The sequence below is a fragment of the Homo sapiens genome, chromosome 18, assembly GCF_000001405.40.
Source record: "Homo sapiens chromosome 18, GRCh38.p14 Primary Assembly".
Lineage (NCBI taxonomy): Eukaryota > Metazoa > Chordata > Mammalia > Primates > Hominidae > Homo > Homo sapiens.
Genome location: NC_000018.10, coordinates 9798419 through 9823465, shown reverse-complemented (window position 1 = coordinate 9823465; position 25047 = coordinate 9798419). Strand labels below are relative to the sequence as shown.

General features: G+C 41.6%; 1 protein-coding gene across 1 annotated transcript in view, besides 1 other annotated feature; it reads right to left on the bottom strand.

Annotated features, from left to right (window-relative positions):
- RAB31 (RAB31, member RAS oncogene family) overlaps positions 1–25047 on the bottom strand; it is a 154251-nt gene that overhangs the window by 39086 nt on the left and 90118 nt on the right. Inside the window, exons 4-5 of the mRNA NM_006868.4 lie at positions 9375–9446; positions 8244–8350 (exon numbers count right to left, since the gene is read on the bottom strand). Coding sequence (NP_006859.2) covers positions 8244–8350; positions 9375–9446 — 179 coding nt within the window. The remainder of the gene's footprint in view (positions 1–8243; positions 8351–9374; positions 9447–25047) is intronic.
- Positions 13902–14552: an enhancer, noted in NCBI's record as "H3K27ac-H3K4me1 hESC enhancer chr18:9808911-9809561 (GRCh37/hg19 assembly coordinates)". NCBI's record gives its function as "activates a minimal SCP1, AML or CMV promoter by ChIP-STARR-seq in naive H9 embryonic stem cells {active_cell/tissue: H9 hESC(naive)}" and the evidence as "EXISTENCE:reporter gene assay evidence [ECO:0000049][PMID:30033119]".

Below are 25047 nucleotides of genomic sequence, written 5' to 3'. Positions count from 1 at the left end.
AGGACATTGTCATTGATGCATTCTATCTTATTCAGATTTCTCCAGTTTTACTTGTATGCACTTATGTATGTGAGTTAAGCTGTATACAATTTTACCACCTGTGTAGGTTCCTGTGTCCACCACCACAGAGAAGATACCAAGCAGTGCCGACACCACAGGGTCCCTTATGTTGCTCTTTCAAACCCATGCCCACTTTCCTCCCCGTCCCCCACCCCTACTTCCCCTTATGATAGGCCCTGGCAATCAGTAATCTATCCTCTATTTCTAAAATGTTATATAAATGGAACCATGCAATGTGAAACCTTTGGGACTGGCTTCATTCACTCGGCACAATTCCCCTGAAGATGCATTTCGAGCTGTGTGTATCAGCAGTTTGCCTCCTTTTAGTGCTGAGTAGTAGTCCATGGTATGGATGCACCACAGTTTGTTTAGCCATTCGTAACTGAAGGACATCTGGGCTGATCCCAGTTTAGGACTATTACAAATAACGTGTCTATGAATATTCATGTGCAGGTTTTGTGTGAACATAAGTTTTCATTTCTCCAGGATAAATGCCCGTGAATGTGATTGCCAGGCCATATGGTAACTGCACGTTTAGTTTTATAAGAAACTGCCAAACTGTTTTCCAGAGTGGCTGTGCCATTTTGCATTCACACCGGCAACGTATGGATGACTCAGTTTTTCCATATCCTCACCAGCATTAGGTGTTGTCGCTGATTTTTATTTTAGCCATTCTGATAGGTTTGATGATGATATTGAACGTCGCCTTATATCCTTCCTCACCATCTTCCTATTCTCTCAGGTGAAATGTCTGTTTATGTCTTTTGCCATTTTCAAATTTTTTCATGTAAATTTTGTGAGTTCTTTATATAGTCTACATACTAGTCCCTTATAGATATATAGTTTGCAAATATTTCCTCCTAGTCTGTAGCTTGTCTTTCATCCTCTTCACACCTCAATATTTCACAGAGCAAATATTTTTAAGTTTTTAAATTTTAAGGGTGTCTAATTTATCAGTATTTCCTTATATGAATCGTGCTTTTAATGATAAGTCTAAGAACTCTTTGCCTAACCCCAGATCTTTAAATTTATTTTCTTTTAGAAGTTTTTCTAAAAGTTTTATGGGTTAACATTTTACATTAAAGCCTGTGATTCATTTTAGACTAATTTTATATAAGGTTGAGGTTTGTTTTTGTTTTGCCTATTGATGTCCGATTACTCTATTTGTTGAAAAGGTCATTGGTTGAATTGCTTCTTCTGTTGAACTACCTTTGCATCTTTGTCAAAAAATCAATTGAGCATATTTGTGTAGATTTATTTCTGGGTTCTCTATTCTGTTCCATTGATCTATGCATCCGTCTCACTGCCAATACCATACTGTCTCGATTACTGTAGCTATATGGTAAGCCTTCATATAGAACAGAGTGATTCTTTCCATTATATTCTTCTTTGTCAATATCGTTTTAGCTATTCAGTGTCTGTGATTTTCCATATAAATTTTAGAATAGGCTTATTTATGTTTACAAAAAACCTTGCTAAGATTTGACAAAAATTTCATTTAAACCTATAACTCAATTTGAAGAGAATGAACATCTTTACTATGTTGAGACTTTCAATTCATAAACATAATATGTCTCTCCATTTATTCAACTCTTACATGACTTCTTTCATCAACATTTTGTACTTTTCAGCATACAGCTCCTATATATGTTTTGTTAAATATATGCCTAAGTATTTCATTTTCTTTGGAGCAATTGTAAAGAATATCGTGTTTTAAATTTCAGTTTCTGCATATTTATTGTTAGTATTAATATATAGAAATCTGATTGATTTTTCCACGTTGCTTTTGTATCCCACAACTTTGCTGAACCCACTTAGTATTTTTAGAACTTTTTTGGTAGATTCTTTGGGCTTTTCTGTGTAGATAATCATGTCATGTGCATAAATCAACTTTTTTAACATTTTAAAAGAAATATGATATCACTGTCATAAATGCAACACTAGTGTCAACTATCATAAAAAGAATGTAATCCTAAAAAATAAATATGATAAAGACAAAATATAATTAAACTCTAGTTAGACACACTTGTCTGCAGAGGGCCCTCAACCTTAGACTTTCTCTCTAAGGGAGAATAGCAAGTGTAAAAATAGGTCTTAAAAACTTAGTGTCATCGGGCTCACTTAGAACATTCCCCAGGACAGACCATATACTAAGCCATAAAACAAGCCTCAATAAATGTAAAATAATTAAAATCATACAAAGTATGTTTCAGATTACAATGGAATTAAATTAGAAATGATCAAAAGTCAAAATTTGGGAATTGCATATGCTATTAAATAAACAATGGGTTAGAACACGAATTAGAAAATATTTTGAGATTAGTTAAAAACAACATATCAAAACCTATGAGATGCAGCTAGAGCAGTGCTTACAGGAAAATTTATAACTATAAATGCCTACATTTAAAGAGATCTCGAATAAATATGCTAACCTTTCTCCTTAGCGAACCAGAAAAAGAGGAACAAAGTAAATCCAAAGTAAACAGGAGGAAGGAAATAACAATTAGAGGATAAATAAATGAAAGAGAAAAACAATGAAAAGAAATAAACCAAAAACACTGGTTCTTTGAAAAGGTCAACAAAACTGACAAACTATCGACTAGACTGAATGAGAAAAAAAGAGAGAAGTTTCAAATTTCTAAAATTAGGAATGGAAAATGAGACATCACTACTGACCTTATACAAATTAGAAGTATTATTTAATTGGTCATGGGATTAAGAAAAAAAGATTATGAGATAATACTATGAACTACACAGCAAATTAGATAACACTTAAAGAACTGACATCATGGAGATCAAGTTGATGTAGAAAAACAAAGAGAAATGACATCAATCCTTCACAAACTCTTCTAGAAAACAGAGGAGGTGGGAAAACTTATCAACTCATTCTGCAAGACTGTTATTGCCCTGATACCAAGGCCAGACAAAGATATTCTAAGAAATGGAAACTACAGACTAAAACCCTTTATGAATATAGACATAAAAATCCTTAACAAAACACTAGCAAACTAAACCCAGCAATGTATAAAAAGGATTATGCATCATGACCAAGTGTGATTTATCCCAGCAATGCAAGACTAGTTTAACATCCCAAAATCAATTAACATATAATTACATATGTAAAAAGTTTTTTGAAAAAATCCAACATTCAGTCATGACAAAAAGCCTTCAACAAACTAGGAGCAGAAGGGAATTTCTTCAACAGAATAAAAAACATATATGTAAAACCAGTTAGTGTGATACTTACTGGAGCATTTTATCCTTAAGATCAGGAAGAAACAAGAATGTGCACTCTCATTACTTTTATTCCAGGCTGTTTTAGAGATTCTAGCCAGAGAAATTAGTCAAGAAAAAGAACTAAAAGGCACCCATATTGGAAAGGAAGAAGTAAAATAGTCTTTATTCCCAGATAATATAATCTTGTATATAGAAAACTCCAGATAATTTACTAAAAAACAACTAAAATTAATAAATGAGTTCAGGAAAGTTATAGGATACAAGATAAACATACTAAAGTCAATTGCATTTCTACACACTAACAACAAGCAATGCCATAAATAAGAAAACAATCCCATTCACAATACCATCAAAAAAATCAAATACAGAAGAATAAATAAAACAAAAGCAAGACTTGTAAACTGAAAGCTATAAAACATTGCTAAAAGAAATTAAAGAAGACCTATTAAAATGAAAAGACATTTCACACTGATGGATCGGAAGACTTAAAATTGTTAAGATGGGAATAATACCTGAATGGGCCTAAAGATTCAACACAATTTCTGTTAAAATCAAAGTTGCCTTTTGTTTTTCAGAAATTAAGAAATAGATCCTAAAATTCATATGAAAATGTTAAGGGTCCAGAATAGTCAAACAATCTTGAAAAAGAGAACAACGTTGAAGGACTCACAGTTTTAAATTTCAAACTTACTACAAAGCTACAGCAATCAAAATAGTATAACACTGGTGTCAGGACAGACGTGTAGATCAACTAATAAAGTTAAGAGCACAAAAATAAGACCACATTTATGGTTGACTGCTTTTGGGCAAAAGTGCCCCCAAAAGATTCAATGGGAAAGAAACCATCTCTTCAACAACTGGTGCAGGGGTAATTAGATATCCACATGGCAAAAGATGAATTTGGACCCGTATCTTACATTACATACAAAAAGTAACTCAAAATGGATGACAGACCTAAATGTAAGCACTAAGAAAACATTAATAAATATTTGTGATGTTCAATTAGCCAATCACTTGTGAACAAGAGATAAAAGAAAAACATGATAAGCTGGACATAAACTTTTGCACACAGTAAAAATTGTGAAAAGATAATCCACAGGATGAGAGGAAATATTTGCGAATTACATGTTTGATAAGAGACTTTTATTCAGAATACATAAAGAACTCTTACAACTCGATAATAAAAAGACAATCCAACTAAAAATTAGGCAAGGGATTTGAAGAGACATTTCTCCAAAGAAGATACACACATGGCCAATAAACATATGAAAAGACATTTATTAACATCATTAGTCATTAGGAAAACCACAGTGACACAATCTCACACCCACTAGGATGCCTATGATCAAAAAGACAGGCAATAAATGTTGGTGAGGATGTGGATATCTTGCAGTTACTTTGGAAAACAGTCTGTGAGTTCCCAAAATTATTACAAAGAGTTATCATGTGACACAGAAATTCCACTCCTAAGTACATATCCTAGAGAGATGAAAACATACATCCACACAAAATTTGTACATGATTGTTCATAGGAACATTTTTCATAATAGCAAAAAAGTAGAAATAATTCAAATGTTAATGTGTGAATGAATAAATAAAAATGTGGTATATCCATACAATGAAATATTATTCAGCCATAAAAATGAATGCATCACTGACATTTGCTTAACTGAAAGAAGATGGTCACAAAAGACCACATATTGTACGATTCCATGTATGCAAAACGTCCAGAAAAAGCAAATTTAGAGGAAAAAAAGGTACATTAGTGATTACCAGGGCTGGAAGGAGGTGGAAATTGAGAGCGAGTATAAATGGGCATGACGTTCTTCACAGAGTGATAGAAATGTTCTAAAATTAGATATGAGATGACTGTACAACTCTAAAAATATACTAACAGTCGTTGAACTGTATACACTTAAAACAGGTGACCGTGATGTTTTGTAATTTACCTCAATACAACATATTAAATGTTTAAAAATTAAAAATGAATTAGTGTCCAACTAGTCTTTCTCACTGACCTAATCAGAGTTTTAAAGGCAGTCAGCTTCTTGTTGCTTGATTCAATAACAAGTACCATCTAAAATAACTGTGTATAACAAAAGATATACATGCCACACTTTAAAACGCAACTGCAGGATCTTGAGGAGCCACATTCCGACCTCACTGAGGCCAAACAAGAGGAGAAAAGATACTACCAGGGAGGCTGGATGCATGGGACAGTGGCCCCATGACACTACCACTAGAGGTAGCAGCTGGATGGCCCTGCATTTTCTCCCACTGGGGATAGAGAGGCTGTGAGTAAATTCACGGTTGGAAGTGAGATGAATAGATTATGTTAGCTGGGGCACTATGAAAATTGCACATATAAGAATCAGCTGAGCACAAATCAGAACACCCATCAAGAAGAATGCTGTACCTGTGCATAAAAGGCAAATTCCACCCCGAAACACAGCACATCTTTGGGTGCTGGTAGCCACATCTATATGTCACAGATATGTTTTATCTGGCCAGGCTACACTTTTCTAGGAACTGTCCCTCTTCAAGACCACCTGCCTTCCCATTCTAATAGTAATGTTGGGAAATATCATCTCGTACTACCAATCCCCTCTTGGCCACACACGCCTGTTCTTAACCTGGGGAATTCCTCCCTGGCATTTTAGACTGGAAACGAAGAGAATGCCAGGCCAGTATCTCTCCAGAGACTAACTCTGGAACATGTCAAATGCCAGAGCTGAGGGCAGTTCTGTTTTTACCATGTGGATTACCAGTATCTTCCAATAAATTCCCCTTTCTCCTGAATTTCAGTTGTGCTTTGGTTCCACATAACCAAGAATCCTAAGTGATACCATTCAAGTTTAAATCGTTTTCTGCTTAAATTCTAGTCCACCAGCATTCCCACAATACATAAGACTCGGTTCCACTTAAAGGCGCACATTAGTCCCATAATTAGGGGGATTTAGAGATAGCACCTTCTCTCAGCAAAGGTCGTCTCTACCCACCCACCTCACCCTTCCCATGACAAAGGTTAAGGTGATTCTGCTGGGAACACTAGATGAGTAAGCTGTTTGAGGATTACAGTAACGAAGGGAGATAACTAAGTCTGGGAAGTTTGAAGATTTGTCCAAATCCCAGAAAAGTGGTGTTTATGGCTGTTATTATAAACCAACCAGATGCAAGTTGATGCAAACTTTTGAAATCCTAAAGAAACAGAACAGTTCGTTAAATGCTATGTTAAGAGCTTTTGCAAGATCCACTTCCATCCATTATTTATTCCTCTTTGGTTTAATCACACTTTGATTAGCAAAACCAGAAGCATGATGTAGTTGTCTTTATGAAAATCAACGACTAGAATTCCTGAGAATTAAATTAACCAAGGGAATGGAGATACCACAAATTCGCTATTTCCTTTTTTAAATAATGTATTTATTTAGCAAAACAGCTAGCTTACCAGGCTAGGTAAAGCTATCATCAAATCTCTAATTCATGTGTACTGGATCCTCACAACCTCCTTCAAGATATAAGAAGTTCAATAACCCAATACCACTGGGGAAAGTCAAGGTACTCACATACAATGTGTCGTATTCTGATTTTAGAACTAAATAGTGAGATTATGTACTTGACTATATCCTTAAGATAAAATCTAGAACCAAAACAAACAGGTATGCTATGAAAAATATTAAGAATTCTAATGGTCATTACCATAGGAAAGTGTTAGTAAAATTGTGCTAGTAGTCATAATGAAAATAATAATGGAAAAAGTAACAACAGAAATAACAAAACCATCTAGCCCAAAGATATGTAGAGTCAGGGATGTAACTGTGTTATGTACAGGAGTTATAATTTGAACATTTATCATTGTATGGTACATCAGATCTGTATTTCCCTATCATTTTCTCTTATTTCTTCTCTGGTTGAATCAATGCCACATTGACTACCAAAAGTGAAAGGCCATTAATTAAGTTACTACACTGAGGGCAGACATAACAAAGGCATGATACCTTTGTACACTCAGGGATGACACTCAGGGATGGAGGACAGCATCTACACGGATGACACTCAGGGATGGAGGACAGCATCTACACGGATGACACTCAGGGATGGAGGACAGCATCTACACGGATGACACTCAGGGATGGAGGACAGCATCTCCACGGATGACACTCAGGGATGGAGGACAGCATCTACACGGATGACACTCAGGGATGGAGGACAGCATCTACACGGATGACACTCAGGGATGGAGGACAGCATCTACACGGATGACACTCAGGGATGGAGGACAGCATCTACACGGATGACACTCAGGGATGGAGGACAGCATCTCCACGGATGACACTCAGGGATGGAGGACAGCATCTACACGGATGACACTCAGGGATGGAGGACAGCATCTACACGGATGACACTCAGGGATGGAGGACAGCATCTACACGGATGACACTCAGGGATGGAGGACAGCATCTACACGGATGACACTCAGGGATGGAGGACAGCATCTACACGGATGACACTCAGGGATGGAGGACAGCATCTACACGGATGACACTCAGGGATGGAGGACAGCATCTACACGGATGACACTCAGGGATGGAGGACAGCATCTACACGGATGACACTCAGGGATGGAGGACAGCATCTACACGCATGACACTCAGGGATGGAGGACAGCATCTACACGGATGACACTCAGGGATGGAGGACAGCATCTACACGGATGACACTCAGGGATGGAGGACAGCATCTACACGGATGACACTCAGGGATGGAGGACAGCATCTACACGCATGACACTCAGGGATGGAGGACAGCATCTACACGGATGACACTCAGGGATGGAGGACAGCATCTACACGGATGACACTCAGGGATGGAGGACAGTATCTACACGGATGACACTCAGGGATGGAGGACAGTATCTACACAAAAGAGATTTCAATGCATCTTACCTAATATCTGAGAGGTCGCACTTGTTTCCAGCGATGGCCATTACAATGTTTTCTGGACCATGTTCTTTCAGCTCCTTGACCCATTTCTTCAAGGTATAAAATGAATCCTAAACCAACAGTGTACACAAATCATTAGAAAGACCCCTCAATATAATATTTCAACTAAGCAGAAATACAAGCCCAGTACAATTTAATGGAGAAAAATATTTTTAGGAGACTCATGCAGATTAACATACTACCTCTGTCTAGGCACAAAAGTTAATGTTAGCTGAAATATACTTAAATAGACCATATCAAGTTTTCTAAAATTAAAACTTGATCTAGTTAAGAAAATCATATCAGTGATTTTTCTCCTATAAATAACATTAATTTAAAATGATAGCCTGGACTCCACATGAATAAGAATAACAGGACTAAGTAAATGCTCATGCTTACACCAAGGAAGAAACATATATATTTAGAGTCCTGTCTTCCTGTTGGCCCTTCACTCACAATTGTCCTCTAGAAAACAGGCCAAGGGCAACACACCACATTTAGGTAGAAGTGGTCAGGAACTCGTGGAAAGTAACAGTGATGGGTCATTAAACTAACAGTCTTATGTGCTGAGTCAACACTCCAGAGAAAAAAAAGTAAATAATTCAGTTTGCAGGAGTGGGAAAAAATGTCATCAAACTACTGCGGTTATTTGTTGATGGAAGTCTAAGACCTTCAACGTGATAACTAAAAATATACTTATATATACACACACAAAGATTTACTTACATACACACGAATGTTATGCTTGGCATTTTAAGTATGTAGTATGATTGAAACAGTAACAAAAATAAGTATTCTGTAATTATAAAGCATGCAGAAATTAAAAATGATTTTCCTTTTCTTTAAAAGCTGACATTCTGCAGAATAGTACTAGCAGGCATGACTTTGCCTCTACAGTCAATTTTAAGAATGAATGGTCATTATTGTTTAATTTAGCAGATAAATATGGGATGCTTTGTTACATATACATGAAATAAACTCAATATATAGTGGCACGCTACTGGCAAGATGCAAGCAGTGACGTCTCTGCTCCAGTCTCTCTAAGTGAGAGAACCACCATAAATGACATCTAAATTCTGAAGGAGACATTCTTACCTGCTTGGTAATATCATACACGATAACAGCTGCAGCTGAGCCTCGATAGTACATGGGAGCCAATGAATGAAACTGTTTAAGAACAATGAACAGTTTTAGGCCAAAGTGAACAGACTTTATTCAATCCCAAATTAAACATAAACGTTTTATCCTACATCATCCTTACAGGATCCCTAAATTCCTTCCCTATATAATTTTTCCATGGTTCATATTATTTATTTATTTTATTTTATTTTTTTGAGATGGAGTTTCACTCTTTTCACCCAGGCTAGAGTGCAATGGCATAATCTTGGCTCACTGCAACCTCCACCTCCTAGGTTCAAGCGATTCTCATGCCTTGGCTTCCTGAGTAGCCAGGATTACAGGCATGCACCACCACATCTGGATCATTTTTGCATTTTTATTAGAGACAGAGTTTCACCATGCTGGCCAGGCTGGTCTCAAACTCCTGACCTCAGGTGGTCCACCTGCCTCAGCCTCCCAAAGTGCTGGTATTACAGGTGTGAGCTACCGCACCCGGCCCCAGAGTTCATATGAAATAATAAATCTTCCTCCTCATCAACACATATGTATGCTTGTGGTTTATTGACCATGAAATCTACTGTTGGGTAAAGGCCAAAAACAAATTTTATTTTAAATGTTACCATCTTGTGAATTTTCTTTTCCCTGCTGCTCATCATTTCTCTAATATAACTGACTGACCCAGGGTAATCTCATTAGAATTATGCGGCAGTAAAGGAAAGATGTATGGCAAGGAGAGGGAAAGGGAACACTGGCAAAGATCACAGGACCCTTGCTGAGCCATTAATGAGGACCAGTCAGCAAGGGCAACCTTGGCAGCAGCTGCCTCGGGTCTGGAGGGGCTGCCACCTCTCCAACGCGGGGCTTCACACCTACCTAAGGTCCACAAATGACAAGACAGCAGAGGAGCTCCATTCCAAAATGTTAACAAAGCAAGTGCTGCTGGTCACTAGCATCGTTCATCCCCAGACAGGAGAGGTCATTAGTCTCAGAATGCATACATTTTATGTATATTTTGGAGAAGGGTCCAGTCTTAATCTGCATATTTTTTTAAATTAAAAAGTATCCTGGAGGGGCCGAGTGCAGTGGCTCACGCCTGTAATCCCAACACTTGGGAGGCTGAGGCAGGCAGGATCACCCGAGGTCAGGAGTTTGAGAACAGCCTGGCCAATATGGTGAAACCCGTCTCAACTAAAAATACAAAAATTAGCTGGGCATGGTGGCAGATGCCTGTAATCCCAGCTACTTGGGAGGCTGAGGCAGGAGAAATGCTAGAACCCGGGAGGCAGAGGTTGCAGTGAGCTAAGATTGCAAAACTGCACTCCTGCCTGGAAGACAGAGTGAGACTTTATCTCAAAAAAAAAAAAAAAAAAAAAAAAAATAGTATCCTGGAGGGGTTTTGAAAGTCAATAAGAAAAAGATGGCTTAATAGAAAAATGGACAAAGATATATATAAAGGTAAATCACAGAAGACATATACATTGCCAACAAATATTTTAAAACATGTTCAATTAGAATCGGAAGAACACCAATAAAAATAAGGAGACACTTATAAATTATTAAATTGTAAAAAGATTTGTGCTGTTCAGTGTTGGTGTGGGTTTGGGAAGGGAGGCACACATACTCTACATGGAATGTGCTGAATATCTTCTTTCAAAGCAACTGTTGGTAATATAATCAAAAGTTGAAATGTGTGTCCCATTTGACCCAGCAATTCCACTTAGAGGAATATATACTGGAGTGACCATCACACGCAGGAAGACACATCCCTGCGCTGTTTATGGGAGTAAATGGGAATTGACTCATGGTATAATGTTATGAACTGAATGTTTGTGTCTCCCCTAAAATCCATGTATTGAAACCCTAACTCCCAACGTGGCGGTATTAGGAGGTGGGGCCCTTAGGAGGTAATTAGGGTTAGATGAGGTCACAGATGGGATTAGTCCCTTATAAGGAGAGAAGGAGACCAGATCTCCCTTCTCTCCCTGCCCTGCCCCTATGTGAGATACAGCAAGAAGGCGAGTATCTGCATACCAGAAAGGGGGCCCTCACAGGCACTGAATCTGCCAGCACCTTGATCTTGGACTTCCCAGCTCCCAAATGGTAAGAAATCAACGTGTGTTGTTTAAGCCACCCAGTCTATGTTATTTTGTGCACAGATTAATACATATATGTATGTAATGATATTCTATAGCCATTAAAATGATGATTTTTATTTATAGGAAAAGAGATCTTTGACATACTGTTAGATGAGAAATAGTCTCAAAACAGCACATATAGCATATAATTTATCATTTATTATGTGGTTAATTTATCATTATATGATAATATAATGTAGGGTAAAATGTATGTGGGAGTATGTCTCTGTGAGCAGGAATAACACGAGGTTCCTCTAAATCTTAACAGGTGGGATTTCCAGCGATTTTTACATTTTCCTTACAAGCATCTGTATAGCATAAATTTTTACAATGAGTTTTAAATAATATGGTTTTTAAGTTTTGAACAAAGCAGCTGTTTTTATTGGGCAGTGGGGAGAGAGCAGGGAGGAAGGAGAAGTGGATCCTGAAGCTTTTCTGGCAAGCGACAAAACCCTAACTTATTATTTTCTTTCCCACGATACTCATCATTGGATCAATACTTGCCAAACTGAAATGATGGTATTTGGAAATCTGAGTCCCCAGGTTTCCCTGTTACTGCACTGAGGAATGCTGGTGAGGCACTCACAATAGTGTGGAAAGGAAGTGGGCCACCCTCCCTGCCTCCAGTCCCTCCATGCAGGTCTCCATCCTGAAGAGAAAGGACTCTGGAGCCTCTGCGGGTTTCAGAAAAGGGAGAAGGTTGGACGAAGCTCAGGGTGAACCAAGGAGTTCACAGCTGAACTGTGCGGTGGCCGAAGATGCTGAAGGGCCGGCGCCACCCACTGCCCCCATTCCAGAACGCACTTGGGGACAGCGACATTTGCCATGCATGCCTTTCCGTACTCACTGACGGCCCAACACTGTGTTTGGCATAATTATTAGGCATCCATAAATCTATTTTTAACCCACCATTTGGCAATCTACTCCTTACACTTAAAAAACAAAATCAGAATTCCTGCCCAAAGGAAGGAAAAAGCAATAATTTTTTTTAAACATTCCTACTTTTCAAAGGGTAAGGACCGCAGATTAAGTATCCTTTTACCCCAATTATACAAAATGCCCATTTTTTTCAAAATAGCCTCCATATAAGAGTGGTTCATGTAAACGCACAAAGTAGCAGTCAATACAAACTTTATTTCCCAAAAGTAAAGATATTCATGGACTCAAGCTCAAAGAGGAGCAAACTGCGGGTGTCTTCTAAGACAGAGAGAGTTCACTTTAGGCTAAAACACCATGAACTGAATCTAAAACGGTCACTGGCATGGAGGTCTCATGAATTATTGAAGCGATCTTGGTATATAATGCATTACTCATTCTTTCCTTCCTCCAAATGGAATCGCTTTGAAATAAATCTCTGTTGGTGAAGCCACTTAAATGACTTTATTGCTGGGGACTTGAGGGTTTTAATGAGTTAGAAGTTCACGTCTCAGTTCCAAAACCCAATAATGCATTGACCAAAGGGTGATCTTGGTGGAGGACAAAAAGATAAATCACTTCTAGTCTACAATGTTTATGCTTTTCCCCCTTACAAATAGAAAGCAAAAGCACCACAATCAGCCTCAGTCCTCAACATGACATAATTCAATTCCTGTGGGGTCAGAAATAAGACTGATGGAATGCTCACATAAAAAGATTCTTCTGGAAATAAAGTTCACAGTCACAAGAGGCTGATAAAGCTTTATTTTTACATCTTACCTTGAAAGGTTATTTGAAAATTAGCACAACAGATGCCAATTCAAAATCCCTTCTTCCCTGACTACCCAGCAAAACATCTAGAAGACCAAATTAAAATGTTGAGAAATTTTTCAGATGTCATTCAATTATTTAGAAACGGCACAGGGAACTGTGAAAACCCAGTGTGTCTCCTCAAAAGAAATAGCTGTTTATGTCCTTAGTGTGTGTGATTATTTGTTTTCTAATTGCTGGAGGTCCCTGTGGCAGGGGAGACGGGAACGGCCTTCTTCAGGCTCTTGGAGCTTCTCCGGCTGCTCAGCTTTCGCAGATGGACATTAACCCTGCCCGCAGCTGGTAGAAAATAAACGAGCATGACCTTTCTGGAAAGCAGCTGGACAATGTGTTTCAAGAATCTTGCAAATGTTCAGATACTTTGATTTGACAATTCCACCTCTTAAGGGAATAATCAGAGATGGTTACAAAGTAACCAGAATTCCTTTGAAAATTATCAATGATGCTGAAAAACTGTAAGCAATCTCAATGTCTAACAATTAAAGAATGGACACATAAATTTTGGCTTAGCCATATGATGGAATATCCAGCAGCAATTAGACTTAGGTGTTTGTAAAATATTAAATGGCACATGAGGCAAGACAGCCTAGTGTGGTATTTTCCTGAGGGTCTTCTGCAGAACACCAGGCCACGTGGAGGTGGCCAGGAAAAAAGGTTTCCTGGCCAAATAAGTTTGAGAAACACCACATGCTTCCCTGGAGGTTTACAAAGCATAATTAGTGCATTAAAGGCTCTGAAAATTTTCTACAGTAAAGAAACCTATTTATTTTGGTTTTAGTTCAGAATTCCCATTCATTTTTAAAATCTTTTTTTCAAGTAGTATTTATTAACATCTAGGGACCTCGCGTGATCAAGAATCACCTTTGGGGAAGTGAAGAGAACTGGACTCAAAGAGAGTCCTGAGGCTTGGCTTGGCTCTATCCTACTTTTCTTATTTTGTGAAACTGGTGCAGTGGGTGGGGTCAGACACAAAGCTGAGGTTTTTCCAGCTCTGTGACAACCCTCCAGAGCTCACGGCCAAGGTAAAAACAGGCTCAGGATGGAGGCTCTCGCCTTCCGTGTAGTGTGCACTACACTTGTTTTCCCATCCTGTACTGCCTTATGTGCTCGCACACCCACGCGTGCGCGCGCACACACACACACACACCCCTCAGCAGCACAGTGGAAAGTCTTATTCCAGGAAATCTCCTAATCCTTTAGAACACCTACTCTGCCTCAGGCAACATTCCTTAAATGCAGGTTTGTGGCATCGTAAATTCTACAGCAGCAAAATCCTGCAAGTTGGGAATGAGCAGTGGTGGAAAATACATGAAGTTTCCCAACAAGCACAGCTCCAGCTGGGCTCTGCCTCCCAGATGAGAATTATCCAAGCCAGAATGCTCTGGCATCAGGTCCAGGAACTCGGAGTGATGGGCTTTGTATTATGATTTCCAGAGGACGCTCTGTCCCTGTTGAGTCGCTCAGGCTCGGCCTGGGCGCCTATGCTGCTCTGTGGCAGGTCAGGTGCAAGGCCACCATAAGGGAGCGTCAAGGGCAGATGCCAAAAAGAGCCCAAGGTCCACTGGGATTCAAACAAAGAGAGAAGGGGTAGAAGAAAATTCCTGAAATTCTCAACATTCTCAGCTGGCAAAAGTTGAATGGAAAAACACATTACTGAATGTTCTTTCTGTGCCATTCAGAAGAATGCTTCCGACTTTTACATAGACCCTCTCTCTCCACAGAAAAGCAGAGGCCTAGTTAATATGCCTACTCAGATGTCCTAAAACCCGAGTGTATGCAGAGTTGAATGAAACGGGACTGGGAGACAATACATCGAACTGTTAAGATGTTCTCTCTGAATAACGGCAGTACAGACAAACCACCACTTGCTTTGCTGTTTCTGAATTATTCAAAAAACCTTTCTATTATATCATAATACATTACTTCTGCAATGACAGGGGGTGTCTTTTTCTTTTTTTCCCTTTCTTTCATTTTTCTTTGAATGTGTTGTTAGAGCCAAAAAGCTTTCTCAGCATTCAGGGATCCAAGGGTTGAAGCAACAGTACCAGGAGGAAGCTGGGTTTTAGAAGAGACCTGATGAGCACCTGACTCCTTTCTGACAAATGTGCTGCAAGCCTCATTTAGCAGAAAATGACACAACACAAATCCAAACATCTTTCCACAAAAACGATGTTGGGAGGAAGGCATGGATTACTTTTATTGATTGACTGGGACAGGGTCTCGCTCTGTCGTCCAGGATGGAGTACAGTGGTGCCACCACGGCTCACTGCAGCCTCAACCTCCTGGGCTCAAGTAATCCTCTCATCTCAGCCTCCCAGGTACCTGGGACTACAGGTGTGTGCCACCATATCCGGTTAAGTTTTTTTTTAAGTTTTTATAGAGACAAGTTCACGCTATGTTGCCCAGGCTGGTTTGAAACTCCGAGGCTCAAGTGATCTTTTTGCCTTGGCCTCCCAAAGTGCTGGAATTAAAGGCATGAGCCACTGCACCCCGCTGGATTAGTGTTTTTTTAAAAGACAATGTAATGAACTGGAATATTCCAATCCCTAGAATAATGTATAAAAAATAAATCAATGATTTAAGATGCTGTAGAAATGCATTTTTTCCCACCCATGAAATCGTCCAAGGGCAGTGAACGTCAGCTCATGTACCTGCATGTTGGCAAACAAGTGGAATTTCCTAAAACTCCAGAACTATGCCCCACCCCACTCCTAGGTATGTCTATTCGCATCATACACAGCCACCGTGATATGCATTTGCGGGGAAAGCCAGGATGGCCATGACGATCACAGAAAGTTAGTCTCATCTTGCCCTCTCTCCGCTCTGCCCAGGCTGGTTTGGTCTCTCCCATCCTTAGCCTCAAGGTCACAGTAAGCGTACCATGTTCAAGACAAGAGCCCACTGTGTGGGACAGTATCTTCGCTGCACAGCCCTGAGGAGGCCTCCGAACATGCCCCATCACACCAGATGCACTCAAAAACATACGGTGTCATTTACCCCCATGTGCCTAGAGCCCTAGACTCTGCACTTTGCTGTGTGCCAACCCAGGCTAGCCAGCACGGCCTTCAGACCCAGCCCCAGCTCTCACGCAGCCGCACCTCCCTCCTGTCCGAGCAAAGTTCGTCTTGCCTTGACTGGACGTCCAAAGTTTCCACAAGAGCCTTCAGATATCCAGTGAGCTCCAAACTGGCCACACAGCCACCAGAGAGATCCTGTTTTGAAGTGCTGGATTATGATATTTATTTACACTGACCACAGAATGTATTTATTTTTAACTTTCACTGTGGAAATTTTCAAGCATATCCACAAGAAGAGAGACTAGAATAATGGACTTCCATCTTCTCATCCCCTGACTTCAAGATCACCACTAACACATGGACCACTGGCTTCCTTTCTACCTCGTCTCACCTCCCGCTCCATTCCTACCCCCTGGAGTCTTTTGAAGCAAATACTTGACATCATCTTATGTTAACTGAACATCAGAGTGATTGATTTCTTCCTATATAAATCCAATTGTTTCACTTCCCTGTTCAGAATCCTTCAAACTTAGTATAAAAGCCAAGCTCCATTCTGTGGCATCTTGGGTGGGACCTGGTCCCTTCTTGGGCCCGCCCTGGTCCCTTCTTGGGCCCCTCCCCTGCTTGTCTCCAGCCCCGGCCTTCTCGCTGCTCCCTAAACACAGAGGCAGGCCCACCGAGCCTCCGCACCTTCCCTGACGCCTTCTAGCAGCCTGGACCCTCCTCCACCAGCATCCTCAAGGCCCCTCCCTCACTTCTGTCACACCTTTAATCAACTGCCACCCTCCCTGAGAACCCTTCCCTGAATCCCTATCTGGACCATAGCAAGGACTCGACAAATATTTAATGACTGAATGCATGTAATAAAAGTCAATAACCCTGTGAAACCAGGGAGAGAAGACAGAGTTGTTCCTGTTATTCAGATGAGAAAACTGAGGCTCAGCATGGTTAAGTGAATTGCCCAAAGACACACAGCTCTTCTTTTTTTTTTTTGAGACGGAGTCTCTCTGTGTTGCCCAGGCTGGAGTGCACTGGCGCCATCTCGGCTCACTGCAAGCTCCGCCTCCCGGGTTCACGCCATTCTCCTGCCTCAGCCTCCCGAGTAGCTGGGACTACAGATGCCTGCCACCACACCTGGCTACTTTTTTTGTATTTTTTTAGTAGAGACGGGGTTTCGCCATGTTAGCCAGGATGGTCCCGATCTCCTGACCTCGTGATCCGCCCGCCTCGGCCTCCCAAAGTGCTGGGATTACAGGCGTGAGCCACTGCGCCCAGTCGACACACAGCTCTTAAATGGTGGAAAAGACTTTGAACACAGGTCTTGACTCCAAATTCCATGCATTTTCCATTCCTGTGTTGCTTCTCTGAAATGAAACGTTGCTTCAGTTGATATAATTAAGACACAGGTTTACATCAAATGTATTCATTCATTCAACAAACAGTATCTCACTGTTTGAACGCTCAGTATGTGGCAGGCACTGTTCTGAGCAGCAGAGAAACTGGAGTGTGGTGGGCAGAATAGTGTCCCCCAAAGAGGTCCATGTCCTAATCCCCATCACCTGTGACTATGTTAGGTTACATGGGAGGTGGAATAGGGCTCATCAGCTGACCTTCATATGAGGACATTATCTTGCATTCCTTGGGTGGGCCCAGTGTCCTCACAAGGCTCCTCAACAGTGAAAGAGAGAGGCAGGGGAGTGGGAGAGAGATTTAAAATGCTACTCTGCTGGCTCTGAAGACAAAGGAAGGGGCTACAAGCCAAGGAATGCGAGTGGTCTCTGAAAAAGGCAAGGAAACAAGATTCTGCCCTTGTACCTCCAGGAAGGATTAAGGTCTGCAGATATTTTAATCTTATTCCAGTGATACTTATTTCTTTTTTTTTTTTTAATCTTTTTATGTTTTTGTTTTTGTTTTGAGACAAGGTCTCATTCTGTTGCCCAGGCTGGAGTGCAGTGGTGCAATCTCGGCTCACTGCAGCCTCAACCTCCTGGGCTCAAGTGGTCCTCCTGTCTCGGTCTCCTGAGTAGCTGGGACTACAGCTGCATGTCACCACACCTGGCTAATTTTTTAAAAACTTTTTGTAGAGATGGGAGTCTCATTATATTGCCCAGGCTGGTCTTGAACTCCTGGGCTCAAGTGATCCTCCCATCTCAGCCTCCAAGTATCTGGGACCACAGGCATGAGACCCATTTCTGACTTCTGACCTTCATAGCTCTAAGGGAGTCTATCTGTGTTGTTTTAAGCCACTGAGCGTGTGGCAATCTGTTACAGCAACAACTGGAAACAAAAAAAGAAAGTGAAGAAGGTAACAAGGTCCCTGCCCTCAAAAAGCCTCCTCTTTTTTTTGGAGTGAGGGGGAGTCTGGCACCTTCCACCGGGCCACTCTGGATGCAGAGGTCTTCCTACCACAGGTCCGTGCTCACTGCAGCCCAGCTGCCTCTGTTAGGACAGGCTGTCAGCGCCTCAGGAACAGGTTCTTCTGTTACCAAACAAAGTCTATTTGCTAATTTCCTATTCAAGAGTGACACTCATAGGCTTTATAGGGCTTTTCTACTGTATTTTAGCCAGACGTAGGAAATTAGCTCCATAAAAGAAAAGAAGAGGACAGAAGGGAAAGGGAGTGGAAGGGAGGAGAGGAAACAAAACTAGTTGAAGTGCTTCTTAGATTCTCGGCAAATCCACCTCCAGACCCCCTGAAACTCCTGTCTCAGCGGCTCTGTGTTTTGGCCCCACGTCCTCTGAGAGTTGGCAGAATGGAAACTTGGCCTCCACCCAAGAGGCACAGACAGTGCCTCATAATTAGAAGCTACTCAGGGCATCCCAGACTAAAACACACATCAGCAAAATGTCATTGCCTGACCTGGGAAGGTGTTCATCTAGCGCAGTCACTGTACCTCCCAGAGCAGCCTGTCCCCACCAAGGAGGGGGCATATGGAAGAAGGGGACACGCACTGGAGAGCAAAGGGCAACAGCAGGGTCTCCAGTGACAAAAGAACCCCCGAGGGGCAAGAGCAGGGCAGAAGCCCGTGTGTAAGCAGAAGAAGCCTGTCCACGCAGCTCTGAGGCTTTCCCCTCTGGCCGCCTCTGTGTTCCCACGGCCCAGGCCACATCCCTCACTGCCAGCATGGCCACCTCCCGGGCTCAGGGCAGAGCTGTTTACAGTGTTTCCCTAAGAACTCCCGAAAGGTATCTTCGTATATGAACATGTCCTTCCTCCTTCTCTCCTGTCGCTGGCATTCTGACACCCAGGAGGGCTGTTCTGCACCTAGATTCCTATTTTCTTACAGGACACAACCCCCGCAAATGGCACGACAGTTCTGGGGGCCACGTCTGTGGACCGAGGCAGTCCCTGCTCCACCTGCACAGCTGCCGTCAGGGTCCCCTCATGCCCCTCTCCAATACCTCTGCTCACACTTTGCTTTTGTAGTTTCCAGCACCAATTTTCAAATATCAATGAAACTCTTCAGCTGTAAAGTGCTTAATGAAGGATTCCTGGGGCTTCTCCTTAAAGGAGCTCAGCAGGCATGGCCCTCACCACAGCTGTTTATCTCACTTCAACAGCATAAACCCTATCTTCAAGCTCCAGGCCTGCCTCCTCCCCACACAATCATCACTCAGTTTTCTCTTTCAAGAGAGTTACTAGGGGCATGGAGGAAGGGAATATTTCCCTTGCCGGGATCTCAGTTTGCATTGGTAGAAAGCACAGTCATCCCAGCCTGGACAGTATAGTGAGACCTTGTCTCTGAACAAAAAACAAACAAAAAATATTAGCCAGGCATAGTGGCTGGTGCCTATAGTCCCAGCTACTCGGGAGGTTAAGGCAGGAGGATTGCTTGAGTCCAGGAGGTCAAGGCTGCAGTGAGCTATGATTGCACCACTGCATTCCAGCCTGGGTGACACAGCAAGACCCTGCCTAAAAAAAAAAAAAAGAAAGGAAAAAGAGAAGAAAAGAAAGCACAGTGCTCTTGTGAAAGGGTGGGAGGAGAGCAAAAACTCGCATGTACTCTATCCTCTCCCATGAGGAGGAATGCCTACAAAAACGTTCTATCGTGGGCTGGTGGGGATGGTGCAGGTCAGGAGCAGGATTCCGGGCTGTGCTGCTGGCTGGTGTTGCCAGCTGGGACTGTATTTCCAATGCCTGCAGGAGAAAGAAAGGAGCTGCTCATTCTGAGCTTGTAAGAGGCTCCATTCTTCAAGAACTTCCAAAGGTCAAAATTTCCTCTGACTTTACTAATGGCCTATGAATAGTGAACCACTTTTTTGACCATAGATGTTGGGGCCCTGAAGAAAGCAGGAAAGACAGCAAAAGAGTTTCTTTGGATGTCTGTAAAGCCTGAATTTGACCTCAGCTATCTGCTGCCTCCAGTTCCTTTGCTTTCTCAAGGACCCATTCAGACCCAGCGATTCCGCACAGCTTTGTGCCAGTGCATCCCAGCCCTCTGGGCACATGATCTCCAAACACCTAATCTTTCAAACCATGCAGACTGGCAGTCACTTGCAAAATTAATCTGAAGGAGGTGAACAAGCGGTATGGCTGAACAGCCTGGGGTGGCCAGATCTCCTGACTGCATGCATTAAACCGTGGGCTCCTGGAGGATGTCAGTGTGGATCCCTCTTATAGGCATGCACCACCACACCCAGGTAGTTTCTTATTTTTTGTAGAGACAGGGTCTCACTATGTTGCCCAGGCTTATCTTGAACTCCTGGGCTCAAGCTATCCTTCCACCTTGGCCTCCCAAAGTACTGGGATTAAAGGTATGATTCACTGTGCCTGACCTAACTCTTTATTCAAAATTTTTTCTCTGAGGTCAGCATTTCTAACCTACATGTAAATTCCAAAGAGTTGAAAGACAGCTGGCAACTTGCTTATCATTGATAATTTACAGGTTTAAGGAGCAGGTAACCCCAAAGTCATCTACAAAGTCAACATAATCCTGACCAAAATCCCAGTTGGATTCTTTTGATAAATATTTACAAGCTGATCCTAAAATTCATTTGGAAATGCAACATACACAGAATAGCTAAAACAATCTTGAAAAAGAACGAAGTTGGAGAACTCACATTTTCCAATTTGAAAGCTTACTACAAAGCTACAGTAATCAAGACAATGTGGTATTGGCATAAGGAGAAAAAATGTATATCAAAGGAATAGAACTCAGAGTCCAGAATCAGAGCCTCAAATTTATGGTCAGGTGATTTTCAGTAAAGATGCCAAGACAATCGGGCAAAGAATAGTCTTTTCAATAAACTGTGTTGGGACAACTGGACAGCTGCCTGCAAGGAATGAAGCTGGATCCTGTCTTTACAACATGGACAGAAATTAACTCCAAATGCATCACAGGGATAAAAGTGAGAGCTAAGACTATAAAACTCTCAGAAGAAAATGCAGGAGTAAACCTTTACGACCTTAGGTTAGGCAAAGACAAGTGTTGGTGAGTATATGGAGAAACTAAAGCCTTACACACTGCTAGTTTTCCACTTTGGAAAACAGTTTGGCAGTTCCTCTAAATGCTAGTCATAGAGTTACCATATGACCCAACAATTTCACTTCTAGATACATACCTAAGAGATTTTTAAAAACATGCATCTGGCCGGGCACGGTGGCTTACACCTGTAATCCCAACACTTTGGGAGGCCGAGGCCGGTGGATCACCTGAGGTCAGGAGTTTGAGACATCTGGCCAACATGGTAAAACCCTGTCTCTACTAAAAATACAAAAAATCAGCCGGGCATGGTGGCAGCTGGCTGTAATCCCAGCTACTGGGGAGGTTGAGGCAGGAGAATCGCTTGAAAGCAGGAGGCAGAGGATGCAGTGAGCCAAGATCATGCCACTGTACTCCAGCCTAGGCGACAGAGAAGACTCCATCTCAAAAAAAAAAAAAAAATCTACACAAAGAATTGTACATGAATGTTCACAGCTATTCATAATAGCCAAAAAGTTGGGGGAAAGTGGATATCCATCAACTGATGAGTGGCTAAACAAAATGTGGTCTATCCAGACAATGGAATATTATTCTGCCATAAAAAGGAAATACTTTTATGACCCACACCACAAGGTGAACCTTGATAATCTTATCCTAAGTGAAAGGATCCAGTCACAAAGAACCACAGGTTGTATGATTCCATTTGTGTGAAATGTCCAGATTAGGCAAATCTAGAGACAGAAAGTATCCCAGGGCTGGGGGATGTAGAGGGGGAACTGGGAGTGACTGCTAATTCATAAGCGTTTCTTTCTGGACTGATAAAAATGCTCTAAAATGGATTGTGCTGATGGTTGAACAATTCGGAACACATCAGAACCCACCAAGGTGCGTACTTTAGATGGATAAATTGTATGGTACGTGAATCGGATCTCAGTAAAGCTGTTTTTAAATAAAAAAAAAGGGGGGCTGGTCATACTCCACATACTGATAGTCAACACAGAAACAAATGTGGACAAAAGCAATTTTCAGTGAATGTGATTTCTAACTGCTAAAGCTCCAGAGTGGGTTATCCAGAAAAGATGAAAGTTGGCTCATCTGCTTCCAAGGCCAACAGAGAATGAGGACAGAAAGCTCAGAGACAGAAGCTTGAGTGGGTCTAGAACAGGTAAGAAGGGGGTCAGGGAAAGAACTCCCTGCCAAGGAAAAAGTACAGAGAATTCCACCACTGCCGCTTCACTGGGCTCTTTTTAGAAACCATTTTCCAACATGGGGAGGGGCCGTCTGAGCCAAGAGGAAGGAATAAATATATCTTCAGAGCCATGGAAAGTCAAACATTAGCTCTACAGCTTCAGGTTTTTTAATGGGAAATTTGTGTTGGAACGTCATGAACTGTGTAAAAGTATAGCACGGTGGAAAAAAATGGAAGGGAGATGGCTGAAGAAAGTTTCAGGTTGGAAGAAGTTGGTCCTCCATGGTATATAGAGCAAGAGAACCCAGGAGGGGCCGCTGGCAGATGAAAGTATTATCCCCAGCTCTTCACCTCTTCATGAACGCATGCCTTATTTATGACAATGTTGCTTTTCAGCTCCTCTCGCTAAAAGCCACTCTATGTGTTGACTCTAGGCTCCCGCAGGGAGCTGGGCAGGTAAATTACCTTCTGTCGGCTATGGACCGCTCTAGGCATGGCTCCTGTGTACATCCTTGCAAAGGTGCCTGCTGACCTGCTACTCTGTACTGTTCACAGCTTGGTGTGAAGCAGAAACCAGCACAATAACCCATTCCAAGAGGACAGGATAAAAACTTCCCAAAGGCCACACTGATGGTACAACAGAGGGAGCCCAATGGCACTCTTCCCCTCTTCATAGTCCTTGGTGGTACAACACACCATGCACAAATCTTACTAATGTCAAGCTTCCAACAAATGGGATTCAACTGGGAAATGGTTAAATTTTTCAAAAAACATTTTTGTTAATAGATGCACCCTATGAATTACCATATCACCACTGAATGAATGAGATAGGATGCCCATGACACACAGTTGGATTAAAAAAGCAAAAGCAACATTCAGACAGTATCAAGAATGAATAGGCTGGGCACGGTGGCGCACCTGTAGTCCCAGCTACTCTGGAGGCTGAGGCGGGAGAATCGCTTGAGCCCAGGAATTTGAGACTACAATGAGCTATGATCATGCCATGGCACTCCAGCCTGGGTGACAGAGTGAGACCCTGTCTCTAAAATAAATAAATAAAAATAAATAGAATGAATACTCTCTTATATAAAGAGGAGGAGGATCCTTTGAGATTCCTGTGCTCAGGAGAAGAAAAAATAATTTTCCAAGAGTACAAATTTGTACCACAAATATAAGATAGAATTATTACTGGGCAGTAAGTAGGACATTAACCAGAATGCTGTGTATGTTAGGCAGAACTTGGTGCAATCATTCCACAAATAAATAAATATTGAATCATGAACACAAGCAAAGCACTGAGCGGAGCTTTCTTCCTTTAAGGACACAGAAATCCATGTCTTTGGCCAGGCTTGGTGGCTCACGCCTATAATCCCAACACTTTGGGAAGCCAAGTGAAATGGATTGCTTGAGGCCAGGAGTTCAAGCCCAGCCTGCACAACATAGCAAGACCTCATCTCTAACAAATTTTTTTTTTGAGGTGGAGTCTTGCTCTTTCACCCAGATTGGGGTACAGTGGTGCAATCTCAGCTCACTGCAACATTCGCCTTCTGGGTTCAAGCGATTCTCTCACTTCAGCCTCCCAAGTAACTGGGACTACAAGTGCCACCACGCCCAGCTACTTTTTCTATTTTTAGTAGAAACGGGGTTTCACCATGTTGGCCAGGCTGGTCTCGTACTCCTGACCTCGTGATCTGCCCGCCTCGGCCTCCCAAAGTGCTGGGATTACAGGCGTGAGCAACTGTGTCTGGCCCAATTTTTTTTTTTTTTTTAAATTAGCTGCGCATGGTGGCATACACTGGTAGTCTCAGCTACTCAGGAGGCTGGAGCAGGAGGATTGACCAGGCCTGGGAGTTTGAGGTTGCAGTGAGCTATGATTGCATCACTGCACTCCAGCCTGGCTGACAGAGTGTGACCTTGTCTTAAAAAGATAAAATAAAATAAAATAAGAAAGAAAAAAAGAAATCTGTCTTTATATTGTCAAATCATAAACCCAAAGTGATTGTTTGTTTAAAATTATGAAAACTAAAAGAACAATAACATTTCTATGATGATAAAGAGGGGTAATAAAATTCACGGGACTCCAATAATTAATGAGACAGAACAAATAGCAATAGGCACAAGCAACAGCAGGGAATTTAT